This window comes from Homo sapiens, chromosome 8 (assembly GCF_000001405.40).
Source record: "Homo sapiens chromosome 8, GRCh38.p14 Primary Assembly".
Taxonomy (NCBI): domain Eukaryota; kingdom Metazoa; phylum Chordata; class Mammalia; order Primates; family Hominidae; genus Homo; species Homo sapiens.
In genome coordinates this window covers 98783050-98802227 of record NC_000008.11, presented here as the reverse complement: position 1 = coordinate 98802227, position 19178 = coordinate 98783050, and the positions used below count along the sequence as shown (strand labels likewise).

General features: G+C 41.7%; 1 protein-coding gene across 21 annotated transcripts in view; it reads left to right on the top strand.

Moving 5' to 3' along the window:
* Positions 1-19178, top strand: part of STK3 (serine/threonine kinase 3) — a 598636-nt gene that overhangs the window by 140383 nt on the left and 439075 nt on the right. The gene's annotated exons all lie outside the window — the stretch shown is intronic.

The window sequence follows — 19178 nt, the reverse complement described above, 5'->3', positions numbered from 1 at the left end:
ATTGAGAGCTAGGAAAAATTTTGACAGAATTATTTTTTCCTTTTTTATTTTTTTAAGAGACAGGGTCTTGCTCTGTAGTCCAGGCTGGAGTGCAGTGGCACAGTCATAGCTCACTATAACCTCATACTCCTGGGCTCAAGGGATTCTCCTGCCTCAGCCTCCTCAATAGCTAGGACTACAGGCACCCATTACTATGCCTGGCTAATTTTAAAATGTTTTGTAGAGACAGGATCTTGCTACATTGCCCAGGCTAGTTTTGAATTCCTGGCCTCAAGCAGTCATTTCACCTCGACCTTCCAAAGTGCTGGAATTGCAGGTATGAGCCACTGTTTCTGGCTGGAAATTCTTACATTGAACAGGAAACAACAAAAATGAGATACAACAAGCTTACTGTTTTGAAGTGCTAGAGAATTTGGATGTCACTGAAAAAAAAAAGGCATATCCTAATGTGTCTGGAATTGGTGGGTTCTTGGTCTCACTGACTTAAGAATGAAGCTGTGGACCCTTGTGGTGAGTGTTACAGTTCTTAAAGATGGTGTGTCCGGAGTTTGTTCCCTCTGATGTTCGGACACGTTTGGAGTTTCTTCCTTCTGGTGGGTTCGTGGTCTTGCTGGCTTCAGGAGTGAAGCTACAGACCGTTGCGGTGACTGTTACAGCTCTTAAAGCAGTGTGTCTGGAGTTGTTCATTCCTCCCGGTGGGTTCATGGTCTCGCTGGCCTCAGGAGTGAAGCTGCAGACCTTCGAGGTGAGTGTTACAGCTCATAAAGGCAGTGCAGACCCAAAGAGTGAGCAGCAATAACATTTATTGCAAAGAGCGAAAGAACAAAGCTTCCACAGTGTGGAAGGGGACCGAGCGGGTTACCACTGCTGGCTTGGGCAGCTTGCTTTTATTCCCTTATCTGACCCCACCCACATCCTGCTGATTGGCCCATTTCACAGAGAACTGATTGGTCCATTTTATAGAGAGCTGATTGGTCTGTTTTGATAGGGTGCTGATTGGTGCGTTTACAATCCCTGAGCTAGACAGAGTGCTAATTGGTGTATTTACAATCCTCTAGCTAGACACAGAGTGCTGGTTGGTGTGTTTACAAACCTTGAGCTAGACACAGAGTGCTGATTGGTGCATATACAATCCTTTGGCTAGATATAAAAGTTCTCCAAGTCCCCACCCAACACAGGAACCCAGCTGGCTTCGCCTAGTGAATCCCATGCCAGGGCCACGGGTGGAGCTGCCTGCCAGTCCCGCACTGTGCGCCTGCACTCCTCAGCCCTTGGGCGGTTTATGGGACCGGACGCCGTGGAGCAGGGGCCAGCGCCTGTTGGGGAGGCTCCGGCTGCACGGGAGCCCACCTTGGTGGGGGGGGCTCTGGCATGGGGGGCTGCAGGTCCTGAGCCCTGCCCTGTGGGGAGGTGGCTGAGGCCTGGCAAGAATTCGAGCTCAGCGCGGGAGGGCCGGCAGTGCTGGGGTACCCGGTGCCCCTTCCGCAGCTGCTGGCCCGGGTGCTAAGCCCTTCACTGCCCAGGGCTGGCGGCATCAGCTGGCCACTCTGAGTGCGGGGCCCATCAAGCCCACACCCACCCGGAACTCGTGCTGGCCCATGAGTGCTGCGCGCAGTCCTGGTTCCTGCCCACGCTTCTCCCTCCACACCTTCCCGCAAGCAGAGGGAGCCGGCTCCGGCCTTGGCCAGCCCAGAGAGGGGCTCCCACAGTGCAGCGGCAGGCTGAAGGGCTCCTCAAGCGTGGCCAGAGTGGACACCGAGGCCGAGGAGGTGCTGAGAGTGAGTGAGGGCTGCTAGCACGTTGTTACCTCTCAATCCCCCCTCTAAACAGGACACCCCAACTGCTGTTGGGAATTTGGCCGATGACCGCTCTAACTACTTCCTGCTGGATAGGGGCTTTGAAGGGGCCCTGCAGTTGTAGTGTCCTCCAGAGGGGAGCTCTCTAGGCCATTGAAAGTGCCAGCAGGTCGGTCCAGGGGTCCTCGGTAGAAGTTGTTAGTTGAACTCATTTGAGGTTCCATTTGTAAGACCATCTGTAGCTTGGTGGCCTCAATTCTAGAGGAAACAAAACAAGGAGGTTAAAAATATAGGGTCCAAAGGCGAGTAGCGGCAAGATGGCTGCCACGGGACCTAGAAAGGGGAGAAGCCATGTTGCCCAACTCCAGAGGTTGGTATAAGAATTTGAAAGGCGTCTGATTTCAGAAGCCTTTTCCTGTAAACGCTGGGTGGCATCTTGTACTATCCCTGGCTGATTAGTGTAAAAACAACACTCTTCCCCTAGGAAGGTGCAGAGTCCTCCTTTCTCAGCAGTGAGGAGGTCTAGGCCTCGGCAGTTTTGGAGAGTCACTGCTGCTAAAGAGTCTATTTGGGATTGTAGAGTAAGGATAGATTTCATTATTTCTTGAAAACTGTCTGAAAAATCCTTTGAGAGTGTGTGGTAGTAGGATAATGAAGTAGATAAACTGGCTCTTCCGGTTCCTGTAGCAGTAGCCATTCCTAACCCTATTAAGTAGGGGTATTAGTTGTATGGCTCTGTGCTGATGGACTTGAGCTTTGAGGGGTACTGATAGGGTCTGATTTCCTGGGGCAATGTTAATGTTGGAACTTGGAAAGACTAAGGTGCAGGTGCCGGTCCAGTTAGTGGGGAGGCAGATATAGGTAGACATTCCACATAAGAAGAATATACCTTGGCTGGGTAGACAGAACCTTACCCTGGCTTTTAAAGGAATAGGGTACACTGCTTTTTTCTTTACTAATTCTATCTCCCTTTCTTTTTGACTTCTTTGTTGTCTCTCTCTTTCTCTGTGACTCCCTCTTTTTCTCTCTGTCTCTTCCCCTGTGTCTCTCTGACTTTGTCTCTTTCTCTCTTTCCTTTCTGCTTGTCTTTCCCTGCCTCTGCCAGCAGCTTATGCTGCTGTTCTTCCCTCTCCTTCCCCTTTTGATGGCTTTGGCAATGTAAGACTGCCGTCACTTTGGGTTTTTGCACTGCATGTAATACTAATGTTTAAAAATGATTGCTTTTATCTTTGATTCAGTATATTTCCATTGCCAGTATAATAGGAGATTATGCTCTTGCCTAAACTTAATGAGATAGTCAAATGATAGATGTCTTAAGTCTGTTTGTGCTGCTGTAACAAAATGCCATAGACTGGGTAATTTATAAAGAAGAGAAATTTATTTACTCATGGTTCTAAAGACTGGGAAGTCCAAGATCAAGCTGCCAGCAGGTTTGGTTGTCCAATAAGGGCTGCTCTCTGCCTCCAAGATAGTGTCTTGTTGCTATATCCTCTGGTGGTGAGGAATGCTGTGTTTTCACATTGTGAAAGGACAGGGGTGAAATCTCTTTCATTAGGGTCTTAATCCCATTCACGAGGTGAGGAGCCCTCATGACCTAATTACCTCTTAAAGGCCTGATTTTTTTTAAAGGGTCTTGCTCTGTTGCCTAGGTTGGAGTGTGGTGGCATGATCATAGCTCACTATAACCTCAAACTTCTGAAAGTACCCCACCTTTTAATACATGACATTGACCGTTTAGATTCAGCACCTGAATTTTGGAGGGGACATATCCAAAACATAGCAATAGGAAAACCAGATTGCATTTGCTAGTTGCTTATTTTAAAAAGATGATTCTAGAGTATGTCTGCCTAAGCATATAAGAAATCCTCTGTTTTAACTTCCAGGAGAGGTACTTTGTGGGTAACTTGTTCTCCACAAAATTCCCAAGCAACTAGAAGAGTACATGCTCTAAAGCCACTCAGTCAAGAATAACGTTTTTGGGGGCCTTTGATTAAAAACATTACCTTTATGATGATATTCTGAGGTGTTAAAATTCACAATATGTCAAAGACAGATGAAACTCTGTACATTATATTGTGTTTGCCAAGTCAGGAAAATAGAAAATTGTGTTGTATGTGTATTTTATATTGACATAGAAATATAGAAATATAGAAAATTCTCGTGTTTACTGGATTCATTTGGGGGATCTTTGACTTATTTGTTTAAAGTGAGCCAGATTATGAGCTGCCTTGAAGCAAACTTTTTACTCCTGGAGAATAATGTAGCCATTAGATTACTTGTTTGGTTTAATATTAATGAGATTTGTTAGTATAGTGCTGCCTCTATTGCTGTATCATGTGGATGGCTTCATCTTGAGCTTAGCCATGAAGGTGAAGTCTCTTTGATTTCTAAGGCACAATTGTCAATTTTTAAAAAAGATTGCTTCTCTTTCTATAGGAATATGCTCTTTAATCGTTCACAAAATGTTTCTACTTTATTCCTCTCCCTGCTCATTAGTTCCCCTCCCTCTTTTAAAATTTCTTTCTCTGCTCGGTCTATTTCATCAACCATTCTTTTGCTAATATCTTTAACTCCCTTATATCATTGTTGTTCTGTGGCATCTGCCTGGAAAATGCTAACTCTGGACAAATTCTACTGTCAGAGTTCTGAGCAGCATTGAAGAAAATACACAAACTCTAAGATTGCCAGCTTGTCAATTTCTACTAGAAAAACTGGCTGAAGTTTTAAAAGATAGGATCATTAATATTTTTATATAATAAAGTTCATGTTCTCTAAGTGTGCAGTTTGATGAGTTTTGACAAAGTGTGTATAATCCTGTAACTCACCCAAATCAAGATTTAGAACATTTCTACCACCTCAAAAAGTTGTGTTGTGTTCCTTTGCAGTCAGTTATCTTACTTTCTCTCAGTTTTGGCATGCACCTTTCAAAGTGATGTGTAATGACATACCAGAAAGGCTTCTGGGATTTTGATTCTTATTGCCTTGATCTAAGCTCAAACTGGGGAGGATTGAGTTTAAAAATATTGTCTTCCAATCCTTGCACATGATATACTTGTCCTAAGGGAGAGAGAGAGAAGGAAAAGCCATCTGCTGATGGGGGAAGGATAGGAATATTTTTCATTCTGACTCCAGGCAAAAAATCATGTTTCTGATGGGCAAGTAGAAGCAAAAGCTGTCTGCCCTTCAGGTGGGCCAAGAAACCACCCACTAGCAGCAAATGCTGATATAGAAGCTGCAATAAGTTATCAGAAGATCTAGTTAAGGTAATCGATGAGTGTAGCTGCTGTAAACAACAGAGTTTCAATGTAGATGAAACAGCTTTCTACTGGAAGATGGTGTCATCTAGGACTGTCATAGCTAGGGAAAAGATGTCAGTGGCTGGCTTCAAAACTTCAAAGTACAGGCTGACTTTCTTGTTAGGGACTGGTGAGGTTGGTGACTTTAAGTTGAAGCCAGTGCTCACTATCAGTCCAGAAATCCGAGGCCTGACTTTTTAATAATTGTCATTCTGACTGGTACAAATGGTATATTATTGTGGTTTTGATTTGCATTTCTCTTATGATTAGTCATGTTGAGCATTTTTTCATATGTTTGGCTACTTGTATGTCTTCTTTTGATGAAAGTTTGTTCATGTCTTTTGCCGATTTTTAAAATGGGATTATTTGCTTTTTACTTTTTGATTTAAGTTTCTTACAGATTCTAGATATTAGACCTTTGACGGCTGCATAGTTTGCAAATATTTTCTCCTATTCTGTAGATTGTCTGTTTACTCTGTTGAGAGTTTCTTTTGCTGCACAAAAGCAGCTCTTTAGGTTAATTAGGTCCCACTTGTCAGTTTTTTGGTTGCAATTGCTTTTAGTCATAAATTCTTTCCCAAGGCTGATGTCCAGAATGGTGTTTCCTCTTTTTTCTTCTGGGATTCCTACAGTTTGAGGTCTTCTGTTTAAATCTTTAATCTATCTTGAGTTAGGGGTCCAGTTTCATTCTTTTGCGTATGGCTAGTCAGCTATCCCAGCACCATTTATTGAATTAAGGAGTCCTTTCCCTATTGCTTTTGTCAATTTTGTTGAAGATCAGATGGCTGTAGGTGTGCAGCTTTATTTCTGGGTTCTCTTTTCAGTTCCATTGGTCTATGTGTCTGTTTTGGTACCAGTACCATGATTTTTTGGTTAAAGTAGCCTTATAGTATAGTTTGAAGTTGGGTAATGTGATATCTCTGACTTTGTCCTTTTTACTTACAGTTGCCTTGGCTGTTCAGGCCCTTTTTTGGTTCCATATGAATTTTAGAATAGTTTTTTTCTAGTTTTGTCCAAAATGATGTTGGTAGCTTGATAGGAATAGTGTTGAATCTGTGTATTCCTTTGGGCTGTGTGGCCATTTTAATGATGTTGATTTTTCCACTTCATGAACATGAAATGTTTTTTATTTTTAATGATATTGATTTTTCCACTTCATGAACATGAAATGTTTTTCCATTTGTTTGTGTCATCTCTGATTTCTTTCAGCAGTGTTTTATAGTTCTCCTTGTAGAGATCCTTCATCCCCTTGGTTAGATGTATTCCTAGGTATTGTATTGTATTGTATTGTATTGTATTGTATTGTATTGTATTGTATTGTATTGTATTGTATTGTATTTTGTGGCCATTGTAAATGGGATCGTGTTCTTGACTTGGCTCTCAGCTGGAACGTTACTGGTGTATAGAAATGCTACTGGTTTTTGTTCATTTTGTATCCTGAAACGTTACTCAAGTAGTTTATCAGTTCCAGGAGCCTTTGGTGGAGCCTTTCAGGTTTTCTAGGTATAGAACCATATTTTCCGTGAAGAGATATTGTTTGCCTTCTCCTTTTTCTATTTGGATGCCTTTTATTTCTTTCTTTTGCCTTATTGTTCTGGCAAGGACTTCCAGTACTGTGTTCAATAGGGGTGCTAAGAGTGGGCATCCTTGTCTTATTCCAGTTCTCAAGGGGAATGCTTCCATTTTTTGCTTATTCAGTATGATGTTGGCTGTGGAGTTGTCATAGATGGCTCTTACTGTTTTGAGGTATGTTCCTTTGATGTCTAGTTTGTTCAAGAGGTTTTTTTTTTTTTTTTTTATCATGAAGGGATGTTGGATTTTATTGAAAGCTTTTTCCATGTCTGTTGGGATGGTCATATGACTTTTATTTTAAATTCTGTTTATGTGGTGGATCACATTTATTGATTTGCATATGTTGAACCAACCTTGCATCCCAGGAATGAAACTTACTTGACCACAGTGAATTAAGTTTTTGATGTGCTGCTGGATTTGGTGTACTAGTATGTATATATATATATATATATATATATATTTTTTTTTTTTTTTTTTTTTTTTTGCGACGGAGTTTTGCTCTTGTCTGGCTCTTGTTGCGCAGGCTGGAGTGCAATGGCGCGATCTCGTCTCACAGCAACCCCTGCCTCCCGGGTTCAAGCCATTCTCCTGCCTCAAGCCTCTGGAGTAGCTGGGATTACAGGCATGCACCACCACGCCTGGCTAACTTGGGTTTTTTAGTAGAGCCGGGGTTTCTCCATGTTGGTCAGGCTGGTCTCGAACTCCCAACCTCAGGTGACCCACCTGCCTTAGGCTCCCAAAGTGCTGGGATTACAGGCGTGAGCCACTGTGCCGAGCCTTGGTTTACTAGTTATTTTACTGAGGATTTTTGTGTCTTATGTTCATCAGGGATATTGGTTTGTAGTTTTCTTTTTTCTTTGTGTCTTTGCCAGGTTTTCGTATCAGGGTGATGCATCCTTCGAATGAGTTGCAGTGAGTTCCTCCTTGATTTTTGGAATAGTTTCAGAAGGATTGATACCAGCCCTTCTTTGTACATCTGATAGAATTCGGCTGTAAATCCATGTGGTCCAGGGATTTTTTTGGTTGATAAGTTTTTAATTATTGATTCAATTTCAGAATTCAATACTGATGTCTGCTCAGGGTTTCTATTTCTTCCTGATTCAATCTTGGGAGATTGTGGGTTTCCAAGAATTTATCCATTTTCTCTAGGTTTTCTAGTTTGCGTAAATAGGAGTGTTCATAATTGTCCCTAAGGAACTTTTGTATTTTTGTGGCATTGGTTGCTTGTCACCTTTGTCATTTTGATTGTGCTTATTTGGATCTTCTCTCTCTTTTTTCTTTTGTTAATCTAGCTTGCAGTCTGTCGGTCTTGTTTTTCCTCTTAGAAAACCAACTTTTTGTTTCATCGATCCTTTGTATTTTTGGTCTTAATTTGATTTAGTTCTTTGCTTTTATTTCTTCTGCTGTCTTTATGGTTAGTTTGTTCTTTTGTTTCTAGTTCCTCTAGATATAATAGATTGTTGATTTGAGATTTTTCTGATTTTTTGAGGTAGGTGTTTAGTGTTGTAAACTTTCCTGTTTATACTTTTTTGCTGCTTCCCAGAGATTTTGATACTCTGTTTTCATTTATTTCAAAGAACTTTTTGATTTCTGCTTTAATTTAATTGTTTACCCAAAAGTCATTCAGGAGTAAGTTGTTTAATTTCCATGTAATTATGTGGTTCTGAGAGATCTTCATGGTATTGATTTTTATTTTTATTACACTGTGGTCTGAGAGTATGGTTGGTATGATTTTGTTTTTTTTTTGAATTAATTGAGACATGTTTTATGGCCGAGCATGTGGTTGATCTCGTAGTATCTTCCATGTGCAGACGAGAACAGTGTATCTTCAGTGGTTGATGGATGAAGTAGTCTGCAGATGTCTGTTAGGTCCAATTCATCATGTGTTGAATTTAAGTCCAGAATTTCTTTGTTAGTTTTCTGCCTCAGTGGTCAGGCTAATGCATTAGTCAGTGGGCTGTTGAAGTCTCCCATTATTATGTATGGTTGTTTAAGTCTTTTCCTAGGTCTAGAAGTATTTGTTTGCTTGTTTGTTTTGAGACTGTCTCACTCTGATTGCCCAGACTGGAGTGCAGTGGTACAATTTCGGCTCCAACCTCCCAGATTCAGGTGATTCTCCCATCTCAGCTTCCTGAGTAGCTGGGGCTGCAGGCTTGTGCCGCCACATCTGGCTAATTTTTTGTATTTTTTGTAGAGATGGGGTTTCTCCATTTTTTTATTAAAATTTTTTTTTAATTTCCATAAGTTATTGGGGAACAGGTGGTGTTTGGTTACAGGAGTAAGTTCTTCAGTGGTGATTTGTGAGATTTTGTTGCACCCATCACCTGAGCAGTATACACTGTACCCAATTTGTCGTCTTTTATCCCTTATCCGCTTCCCACCCTTTCCCCCTGAGTCTCCAAAGTCCATTGTGTCATTCTTATGCCTTTGCGTCCTCATAGCTTAGCTCCCACATATCAGTGAGAACATATGATGTTTGGTTTTCTATTCCAGAGTTACTTCACTTAGAATAATAGTCTCCAATCTCCTCTAGGTTGCTGTGAATGCCATTAATTCATTCCTTTTTATGGCTGAGTAGTATTCCATCATATATATACATACACACACACATACACATATATGTACACACATATGTAATACACACACACACACACACACACACACACATACAGTCTCTTTATCCAGTTGTTGATTGATGGGCATTTAGGTTGGTTCCACATTTTTGCAATTGCGAACTGTGCTGCTATAAACTTGCGTGCAAGTGTCTTTTTCTTATAATGACTTCTTTTCCTCTGGGTAGATACCCAGGAGTGGGATTGCTGGAGCAAATGGTAGTTTTACTTTTAGTTCTTTTTTTTCTTTGAGACGGAGTTTTACTGTTGTTGCCCAGGCTGGAGTGCAATGGTGCAATCTCAGCTCACCGCAACATCCACTTCCTGGGTTAAAGTGATTTCTCCTGCCTCAGTCTTCCAAGTAGCTGGGATTACAGGCATGCGCCACCATGCCCAGCTAATTTTGTATTTTTTTTTAGTAGGGGCGGGGTTTCTCCATGTTGGTCAGCCTGGTCTCGAACTCCCAACCTCAGGTGATCTGCCCACCTCGGCCTCCCAAAGTGTCGGGATCACAGGCGTGAGCCACTGCTCCCAGCCCTACTTTTAGTTCTTTAAGGAATCTCCACACTGTTTTCCATAGTGGTTGTACTAGTTACATTCCCACTAGCAGTGCAGAAGTGTTCCCTGTTCACTCCATCCCCGACAACATCAATTATTTTTTGATTATGGCCATTGTTGCAGAAGTAAGGTGGAATCGCATTTTGGTTTTGATTTGCATTTCTTGATCTATTAGTGATGTTGAGCATTTTTTCCTATGTTTGTTGGCCATTCGTATATCTTCTTTTGAGAATTGTCTATTCATGTCCTTAGCCCACTTTTTGATGGGATTGTTTGTTTTTTCTTAATTTGTTTGTGTTTGTTTTAGATTCTGGATATTAGTCCTTTGTCAGATGTATAGATTGTGAAGATTTTCTCCCACTCTATGGGTTGTCTGTTTACTCTGCTGACCGTTCTTTTGTCGTGCAAAAGCTCTTTAGTTTAAGTCCCAGCTATTTATCTTTGTTTTTATTGCATTTGCTTTTGGGTTCTTGGTCATGAAATCATTGACTAAGCCAATGTCTAGAAGAGTTTTTCCAATGTTATCTTCCAGAATTTTTATAGTTTCAGGTCTTAGATTTAAGTCCCTGATCCATCTTGAGCTGATTTTTTATAAGGTGAGAGATGAGGATCCAGTTTCATTCTCCTACATGTGGCTTGTCAGTTGTCCTAGCACCATTTGTTGAATAGGGTGACCTTTCCCCACTTTGTTTTTGTTTGCTTTGTCGAATATCAGTTGGCTGTAAGTATTTGGGCTTATTTCTGGGTTCTTTCTGTTCCATTGGTCCATGTGCCTATTTTTATACCAGTACCATGCTGTTTTGGTGACTGTGGCCTTAGAGTATAGTTTGAAATCAGGTAATGCGATGCCTCCAGATTTGTTCTTTTTGCTTAGTCTTGCTTTGGCTATGTGGGCTCTTTTTTGGTTCCATATGAGTTTTAGGATTGTTTTTTCTAATTCTGTGAAGAATGATGGTGGTATTTTGATGGGAATTGCATTGAATTTGTAGATTGCTTTTGGCAGTATGGTCATTATCACAATATTGATTCTACCCATCAATGAGCATGGGATGTGTTTCCATTTGTTTGTGTCATCTATGATTTCTTTCAGCAGTGTTTTGTAGTTTTCATTGTAGAGGTCTTTTACCTCCTTGGTTAGGTGTATTCCTAAGTATTTTATTTATTTTTGCAGCTATTGTAAGAGGAGTTAAGTTCTTGATTTGATTCTCAGCTTGGTCGCTGTTGGTGTATAGAAGAGATACTGATTGTGTACATTAATGTTGTATCTGGAAACTTTGCTGAATTCTTTTATCAGTTCTAGGAGCTTTCTGTGGGAGTCTTTAGGGTTTTCTAGGTAAACAATCATATCATCAGCAAACAGCAACAGCTTGACTTCCTCTTAACCGATTTGAATGCCTTTTTTTTTTTTTTGAGACGGAGTCTCACCCTGTCCCCCAGGCTGGAGTGCAATGGCGCGATCTCAGCTCACTGCAACCTCTGCCTCTGGGGTTCAAGTGATTCTCCTGCCTCAGCCTCCCAAGTAGCTGGGATTACAGGCGCCTGCCACCATGCCCAACTAAGTTTTTGTATTTTTAGTAGAGACGGGGTTTCACTATGTTGGCCAGGCTGATCTCGAACTCCTGACCTCGTGATCCACCTGCCTCAGCCTCCCAAAGTGCTGGGGTTACAGGCGTGAGCCACCACACCCGGCTTAGATGCCCTTTATTTCTTTCTCTTGTCTAAGTGGTCTGTCTAGGACTTCCAGTACTATGTTGAAGAGGAGTGGTGAGAGTGGGCATCCTTGTCTTGTTCCAGTTCTCAGAGGGAGTGCTTTCAGCTTTTTCCTATTCAGTATTACATTGGCTGTGGGTTTGTCATAGATGTCTTTTATTACATTGAGGTATGTCCCTTGTATGCTGATTTTGCTGAGTTTTAATCATAGAGGGATGTTGGAGTTTGTTGAATGCTTTTCTGCATCTGTTGAGACGATCATGTGATTTTCGTGTTCGATTCTGTTTACGTGGTGTATCATCACATTGTGTATGTTAAACCATCACTGCATCCCTGGTATGAAACCCACTTGATCATGGTGGATTATCTTTTTGATATGTTGTCGGATTTGGTTAGCTAGTATTTTGTTAAGGATTTTAACTTATATGTTAATCAGGGATATTGGTCTGTAGTTTTCTTTTTTGGTTACATCCTTTCCTGGTTTTGGTATTAGGGTGATACTGGCTTCATAGAATGATTTCGGGAGGGTTCCTTCTTTTTCTGTCTTGTGGTATAGTTTCAGTAGGATTGGCACCAATTCTTCTTTGAATGTCTGGTAGACTTCTGCTTCTGCTGTGAATCTCTCTAGTCCTGGACTTTTTTTTTTTTTTTTTTTGAGATGAAGTCTCCTTCTTGTCCCCCAGTCTGGAGTGCAATGGCGCGATTTCGCCTCATTGCAACCTCTGCCTCCCGGGTTCAAGCAATTCTCCTGCCTCAGCCTCCCGAGTAGCTGGGACTACAGCTGCTTACCACCACGCCCAGCTACTTTTTTCTATTTTAAGTAGAGACAGGGTTTCACCATGTTGGGCAGGCTGGTCTTGAACTCCTGATCTCAGGTGATCCACCTGCCTCGGCCTCCCAGGTGCCTTGTTTGTAATTTTTAAATTATCATTTCAATCTTGCTGCTTGCTGTCGATCTGTTCAGGGTATCTAATTCTTCCTGATTTAAGCCAGGAAGGTTTTATCTTTCCAGGAATTTATCTATCTCCTCTAGGTTTTCTAGTTTATGCACATAAAGGGGTTCATAGTAGCCTTGAATGATCTTTTGTATTTCCTTGGTATCAGTTGTAATATCTCCCTTTTCGGTTCTAATTGAGCTTATTTGGATTTTCTTTCTTCTTTTCTTGGTAATCTTGTTAATGTTCTATTAATTTTATTTTATCTTTTCAAAGAACCAGCTTTTTGTTTCATTTATCTTTTGTATTTTTTTTGTTTCAATTTAATTTATTTCTGCTCTGATCTTGGTTATTTCCTTTCTTATACTGGGTTTGGGTTTGGTTTGTTCTTGGTTCTCTAGGTCCTTGAGGTGTGGCCTTAGATTGTCTGTGCTCTTTCAGACTTTTTGATGTAGGCATTTAGGGTTATAAACTTTCCTCTAAGCACTGCCTTGCTGTATCCCAGAGGTTTTGATAGGTTGGGTCACTATTGTTGTTCAGTTCGAAGAATTTTTAAATTTCCATCTTGATTTCATTTTTGACCCAATGATCATTTAAAAGCAGGTTATTTAATTTCCATGTATTTGCATGATTTTGAAGTTTCCTTTTAGAGTTGATTTTCCATTTTATTCCACTGTGGTCTGAGAGAGTACTTGATATTATTTCAGTTTTCTTAAATTTATTGAGGCTCGTTTTGTGGCCTCTCATATGGTCTATCTTGGAGAAAGTTCCATGTGCTGTTGAATAGAATGTATATTCTGCAGTTGTTGAGTAGAATGTTCTGTATAATCTGTTAAGTCCATTTGTTCCAGGGTATAGTTTAAATCCATTGTTTCTTTGTTGACTTTCTGTGTTGATGACCTGTCTAGTGCTGTCAGTGGAGTGTTGATGTCCCCCACTATTATAGTTGCTGTCTCATTTCTTAAGTCTATTAGTAATTGTTTTATAAATTTGGGAGCTCCAGTGTTAGGTGCATATATATTTAGGATTGTGATATTTTCCTGTTGGACAAGGCCTTTTATGACTCTCTTTGTCTTTTTTAATGGCTGTTGCTTTAAAGTTTGTTTTGTCTGGTATAAGAATAGCTATTCCTACTCGCTTTTGGTGTCCATTTGCATGGAATGTCTTTTTCCACCCCTTTAGCTTAAGTTTATGTGAGTCCTTATGTGTTAGGTGTGTTTCTTGAAGGCAGCAGATGGTTGGTGAATTCTTATCCGTTCTGCAATTATATATGTATTTTTTTTTTTGTTTGTTTGTTTGTTTGTTTTTTCTGAGATGGAGTCTTACTCCATCACCCAGGCTGGAGTGCAGTGGTATAATCAGGGCTCACTGCAACTTCCGCCTCCTGGGTTCAAGCAGTTCTCCTGTCTCAGCCTCCTGAGTAGCTGGGATTACAGGCGCGCACCACCACGCCCGGCTAATTTTTGTATTTTTAGTAGAAACAGGGTTTCACCATGTTGTCCAGGCTGGTCTCGAACTCCTGGCCTTGTGATCTGCCTGCCTCGGCCTCCCAGTATTGAGATTACCCCCGTGAGCCACCATGCCCGGCCAGTTCTGTATCTTTTAAGTGGAATGTTTAGGCTATTTACATTCAACGTTGGTATTGAGATGTGAGGTATCATTCCATTCATTATGCGATTTGTTGCCTGTATACCTTGGTTTTCTTGTTTTGTTTTGTTTTTTAAATTGTATTTTTGTTTTGTAGGTCCTGTGAGATTTATGCTTTAAAGGGGTTCTGTTTTGATGTGTTTTCTGGCTTTGTTTCAAGATTTAGAGCTCCTTTTAGCAGTTTTTGTAATGCTGGCTTGGTAGTGGCAAATTCTCTCAGCATTTGTTTGTCTGAAAAAGACTGTATCTTTCCGACATTTATGTAGCTTAGTTTCGCTGGGTGCAAAATTCTTGGCTGATAATTGTTTTGTTTGAGGAGGCTGAAGACAGGGCTGCAATCCCTTCTAGCTTGTAAAGTTTTTGCTGAGAAATCTGCTGCTAATCTGATAGGTTTTCCTTTAAAGGTTACCTGGTGCTTTTTCCTCATGGCTCTTAAGACTCTTTTCTTTGTCTTAACTTTAGATAATTTGATGACAGTGTGTCTAGGCGATGATCTTTTTGTGATGAATTCCCCAGGTGTTCTTTGAGCTTCTTGTATTTGGATGTCTGGGTCTCTATCAAGGCTGGGAAGTTTTCCTCAATTATTCCCCCAAATATATTTTCCAGACTTTTAGATTTATCTTCTTTCTCAGGAATGCTGATTATTCTTAGGTTTGGTCGTTTAACATAATCCCAGACTTCTTGGAGGCTTTGTCCATATTTTCTTATTCTTTTTCCTTTGTCTTTGTTGGATTGGGTTAATTCAAAAACCTTGTCTTTGAGCTCTCAAGTTCGTTCTTCTGCTTGTTTGATTCTATTGCTGAGACTCTCCAGAGCATTTTGCATTTCTGTAAATGTGTCCATTGTTTCCTGAAGTTTTTTTATTTATGCTATCTATTTCATTAAATATCTCTTCCTTCAGTTCTTGTTTTTTTTTTTTTTTTTTTTTTTTTTTGAGGTGGAGTCTCGCTCTGTTGCCAGATTGGAGTGCAGTGGTGCGACCTCAGCTCACTGCAACCTCCAGCTCCTGGGTTCAAGTGATTCTTCTGCCTCAGCCTCCCGAGTAGCTGGGACTACAGGCATGCACCACCACACCAAGCTAATTTTTGTATTTTTAGTAGAGACGGGGTTTCACCATGTTGGCCAGGAAGGTCTCGATCTCCTGACCTCTTGATCTGCCCGTCTTGGCCTCTCAAAGTGCTGGGATTACAGGCGTGAGCCACCGCACCACATTGACCTTGGACGGCCTGGTGAGTATATGCCTTGGTGATGTTCATTTTGTATGTTATCTCACAAGTGTTGTCTGGATTTGTATATTATCTCACAGTTGTTGTCTGGATTTGTTGTATCTGGATGTCTACTACTCTAGCAAGATTAGGGAAATTTTTTTGAGTTAGTTCCTCAAATATATTTTCCAGGTTGTTTGCTTTTTCTCTTTCTGTATCATGAATGCTAATAATTTATAGGTTTGATCGCTTTACATAATCCTGTATTTCTTAAAGACTTTGTTCAATTTTAAAAGTTCATTTTCCTCTATTTTTGTTGACTGGGTTAGTTCAAAAGATCAGCTTTCATTCCTTTCTTCTTTTTTCCTTTTGTTCATCTGTTTTGCAGTGATGTGATCATGGCTCACTGCAGCCTTGAACTCCCAGGCTCAGGTGATCCTTTCACCCCAGCCTCCCAAGTAGCTAGAACGATAGGTGCAAACCATCATGCCCAGCTAATTTTTAAATTTCTTTGGAAAGACACGGTCTCTTTATGTTTTCCAGGATGGTCTCAAGCTACTTGGCTCAAATGGTCTTCCTACGTCAGCCTCCTCAAGTGTTGGGATTATAGGCATGAGCCACCATGCCTGGCCTGAAATTCTTTCTTTTGCTTGGTCCAGTCTATTGATAAAGCTTTCAGTTATATTTTGAAATTTCTTAAGTAAACCTTTTTCATTTCCAGAAGCTCTGATTGATTTCTTTTAAAAATCTTTACCTCTTATTTCCTGGATTTCCTTTGAAGTTTTTTAGTATTGATTTTCAATCTTGTCTTGGATCTCTGAGCTTCCTTGCAACCCATGCTTTGAGTTCTTTGTCATTTCTGAGTGTCCTTGTTGGTTGGGGACCATTGCTGGAGAGCTAGTGTGATCCTTCTGTGGTGGCACTACATTCAGATTTTTTCATGGTGCCAGTATTCTTGTACTGGTTTCTTCCCATCTGGAGACACTGGCACTGCTAATTTGTGTAATTATTTTCGTACTGGTAGGATTTTTTCTTTCTTGTCTTACAATGTTGTTTTTTTCTTCTTTCCCTTTCCCCTACTCCTTAGGGGTTGTGAGTGGAAATAATGCTGTGTAGAGTCTTTTGGCTTTGTTTTTATAGTCCTATGCACTTCAGTTGGCAGGTTTTATATTGGGCTGTGTAGTTTGGCCTATAAGCTTATGGGTAAGAGCCAGGTGTTGCCAGTGTGACTGGGTATATATTTGATCCTTGTTTACTGGGAGCAGCTCTCCGTTGCCTCAGGCAGTGGGCTGATTTGTGGAGTGTACAGTAGTCTGAGTTTCCTGCTCAGCCCTGAGGGGGCAGAGGGAAAGATATGCAGGGCTGGACTGGGCAGGCTCACCGCCAGACCCTCCAGTGGCAAGCACAAGTGTCAGCGCATAGGGAGAATCCAGTGGGTAGTCACCAAGCACCCAGAGGTGTACCTGGGTATGAAGCTGGGAGACCTCCTTGGCCCTAAGTTCTCTGCACAGGGATGGGTGGCAGCTTAAACTCCTAATCCTGAAGAGTAGGTGCTCCAGATGGCTGGACATCTGCCTGGATATGAAGTGGAAAGGGTCCCCCTGCCACCCCACCACCACTAAGATTTCTGCGGAGGAGGGTTGGGGTGATGTAGGCTGCTGAACCAGGCAAGCAGGTGCTCTGAATGCCTGGAGTTATGCCTGGGCATGAAGCAGGGAGGGCCTGCCTGTACCCAGATCTCTTCATAGGAAGAGTGGCATGGCCCAATATGCCAATTTGGGCAAATAGGTACTTTGAATATCTGGAGATCTTCTTGGGCAATGGAGTGGAAGGGCCTTGCTGCACCATAATCTATGTATAGAAGGATGGAGCAGTTCAGGCTGCTGATCCAGGTGAGTGGGTGCTCTGAATGCCTGGGAGATCTGTCTGAGTGTGAAGCAGAGAGGGCCTCCCTACACTAGGATCTCTGCACAGGAAGGGTGAGGCAAGTCAGGCTGCTGATTCAGGTGAGCAGATGCTCTGAATGCCTGGAGATTTGCCTGGGCATGGAGCAGAGAGGGCCCCCCTGCACAGAATCTCTGCACAGGAAAAGTGGGGCAACTCAATCTGCTAGTCCATGTGAGCAGGTGCATTAGATGCCTGGGTATCTGTCTCCATGTGGAGTGGAGAGGGCCCCACTGTACCACAATCTATGCACACACAGGAAGGGTAAGGCAACTCAGACTGCGGTTGCAGGTGAGGGGGTGCTCTGAATAGCTCTAGATCTGCCTGCATGTGGAGCAGAGAGGCCTCCACTGTGCCATGATCTATATCCATGAAGGGTGAGGTGGTTCAGCCTGCTTGTCCAGGCAAACAGTTGCTCCAAATGCCTGGATTTTTGCCAGGGAGTAGAGCAGAGAGGGCCCTGCTGCACCACAGGGGAACAGGCTGTGGCAACCAATCATGGCACATGCAGACCAGTTCCAGGTTGCTAAGCTGGATCTGGCTTGAAGTCTGGTTGTCCAGGAGAAACAATAGCTGTAGCAGCTCTTCTCTCATCCTTGACCTGCAGTGGAGGAGAGCACAATCCCAGCACCTACTGCTGAGGCACTAACTACAGTGTGGCTGTGAAGACCTCTGTCCTGCTCCAGAGCCAGAAGCCTATGTGGCCATGCTACTGGGTTGCCAAAGAATGGTTGACTTGCATGCACCCACATTTAAAATAGTGTCCTGCTCTCCATCCTGGGTCTGGGAAATGCCAGTAGCTTTTCCGAGTGTCTGTCCCTCACAGCATCTCCAAATCAGCTTGTCCCCAAGTTAGATCCAGGGCTTAGAAGAAACAAAGTGCTCTTTCTTGACCTGGGTTGCTCAGATCTCCAGTGGAAAAGTGAGTCACAGAGGGAGGCTTTCTGACTGTCTTGCATACTTGGGCTTCCCTCACTTTTATCAATTGGATGCCATAATAGGGGCTGTTTGTGTTTGTGTGTCTTCCTTGGATCTGAGGTGTCTGTCACGATTCCAGTGGATTCCTGTTTTCCTTTGTGAATTAAAGCTCTCAGAGTTGGCCTTTGTACACTATCTTGCTATTTCCAAGTGAATGAGGCCCACTAAAAGCCTCTAATCTGCCATCTTGGAAATAAAAAAGGATTTAGAATATTCCATAATCTTAATTGAGAAAGCAGTGGCAGGGTTTGAGAGGATTGATTCCAATTTTGAAAGTTCTACTTGTGAGTAAGATGCATCAAACAGCATCACATGCTATAGAGAAATCTTTTGGGAAGGAAGAATTAATTGATGTGGCAAACTTCATTGTTGTCTTATTTTAAGAAATTTCCACAGCTAACCCAACCTTTTGCAACCACCACCCTGATCAGGCAGAAGCTATCAACATAGAGGCAAGATTCTCCACCAGCAAAAAGATTTTGACTCGTTGTAGGCTCAGATGATCATTGGCATTTTTAGCAATAAAGTGTTTAAAATCTTTTTTATTTTTAATTTTTATGGGTACATAGTAGGTGTATATATTGGGTACATGAGATATTTTGATACAGGCATATAATGCATAACAATCATCAGGGCATAGTGGGTATCCTTCACCTCAAACATTATTTTTATATTAAGGTATGTACGTTGTTTTTTCAGACATAATGCTATTGTACACATAATAGACTACAGTATAGTGTAAACATTTATATATCCTGGGAAAACAAACATTTTTGTGTTATTTGCTTTATTGTGGTATTTGCTTTATTGTTGCGGTATGGAACTGAACCTGCAGTATCTCTGAGATATGCCTATATGTCTTTCCTGTGACTACTTTTAGTATTCTTTCTCACTGATGTTCAGCAATTTGATCATAATATATTTT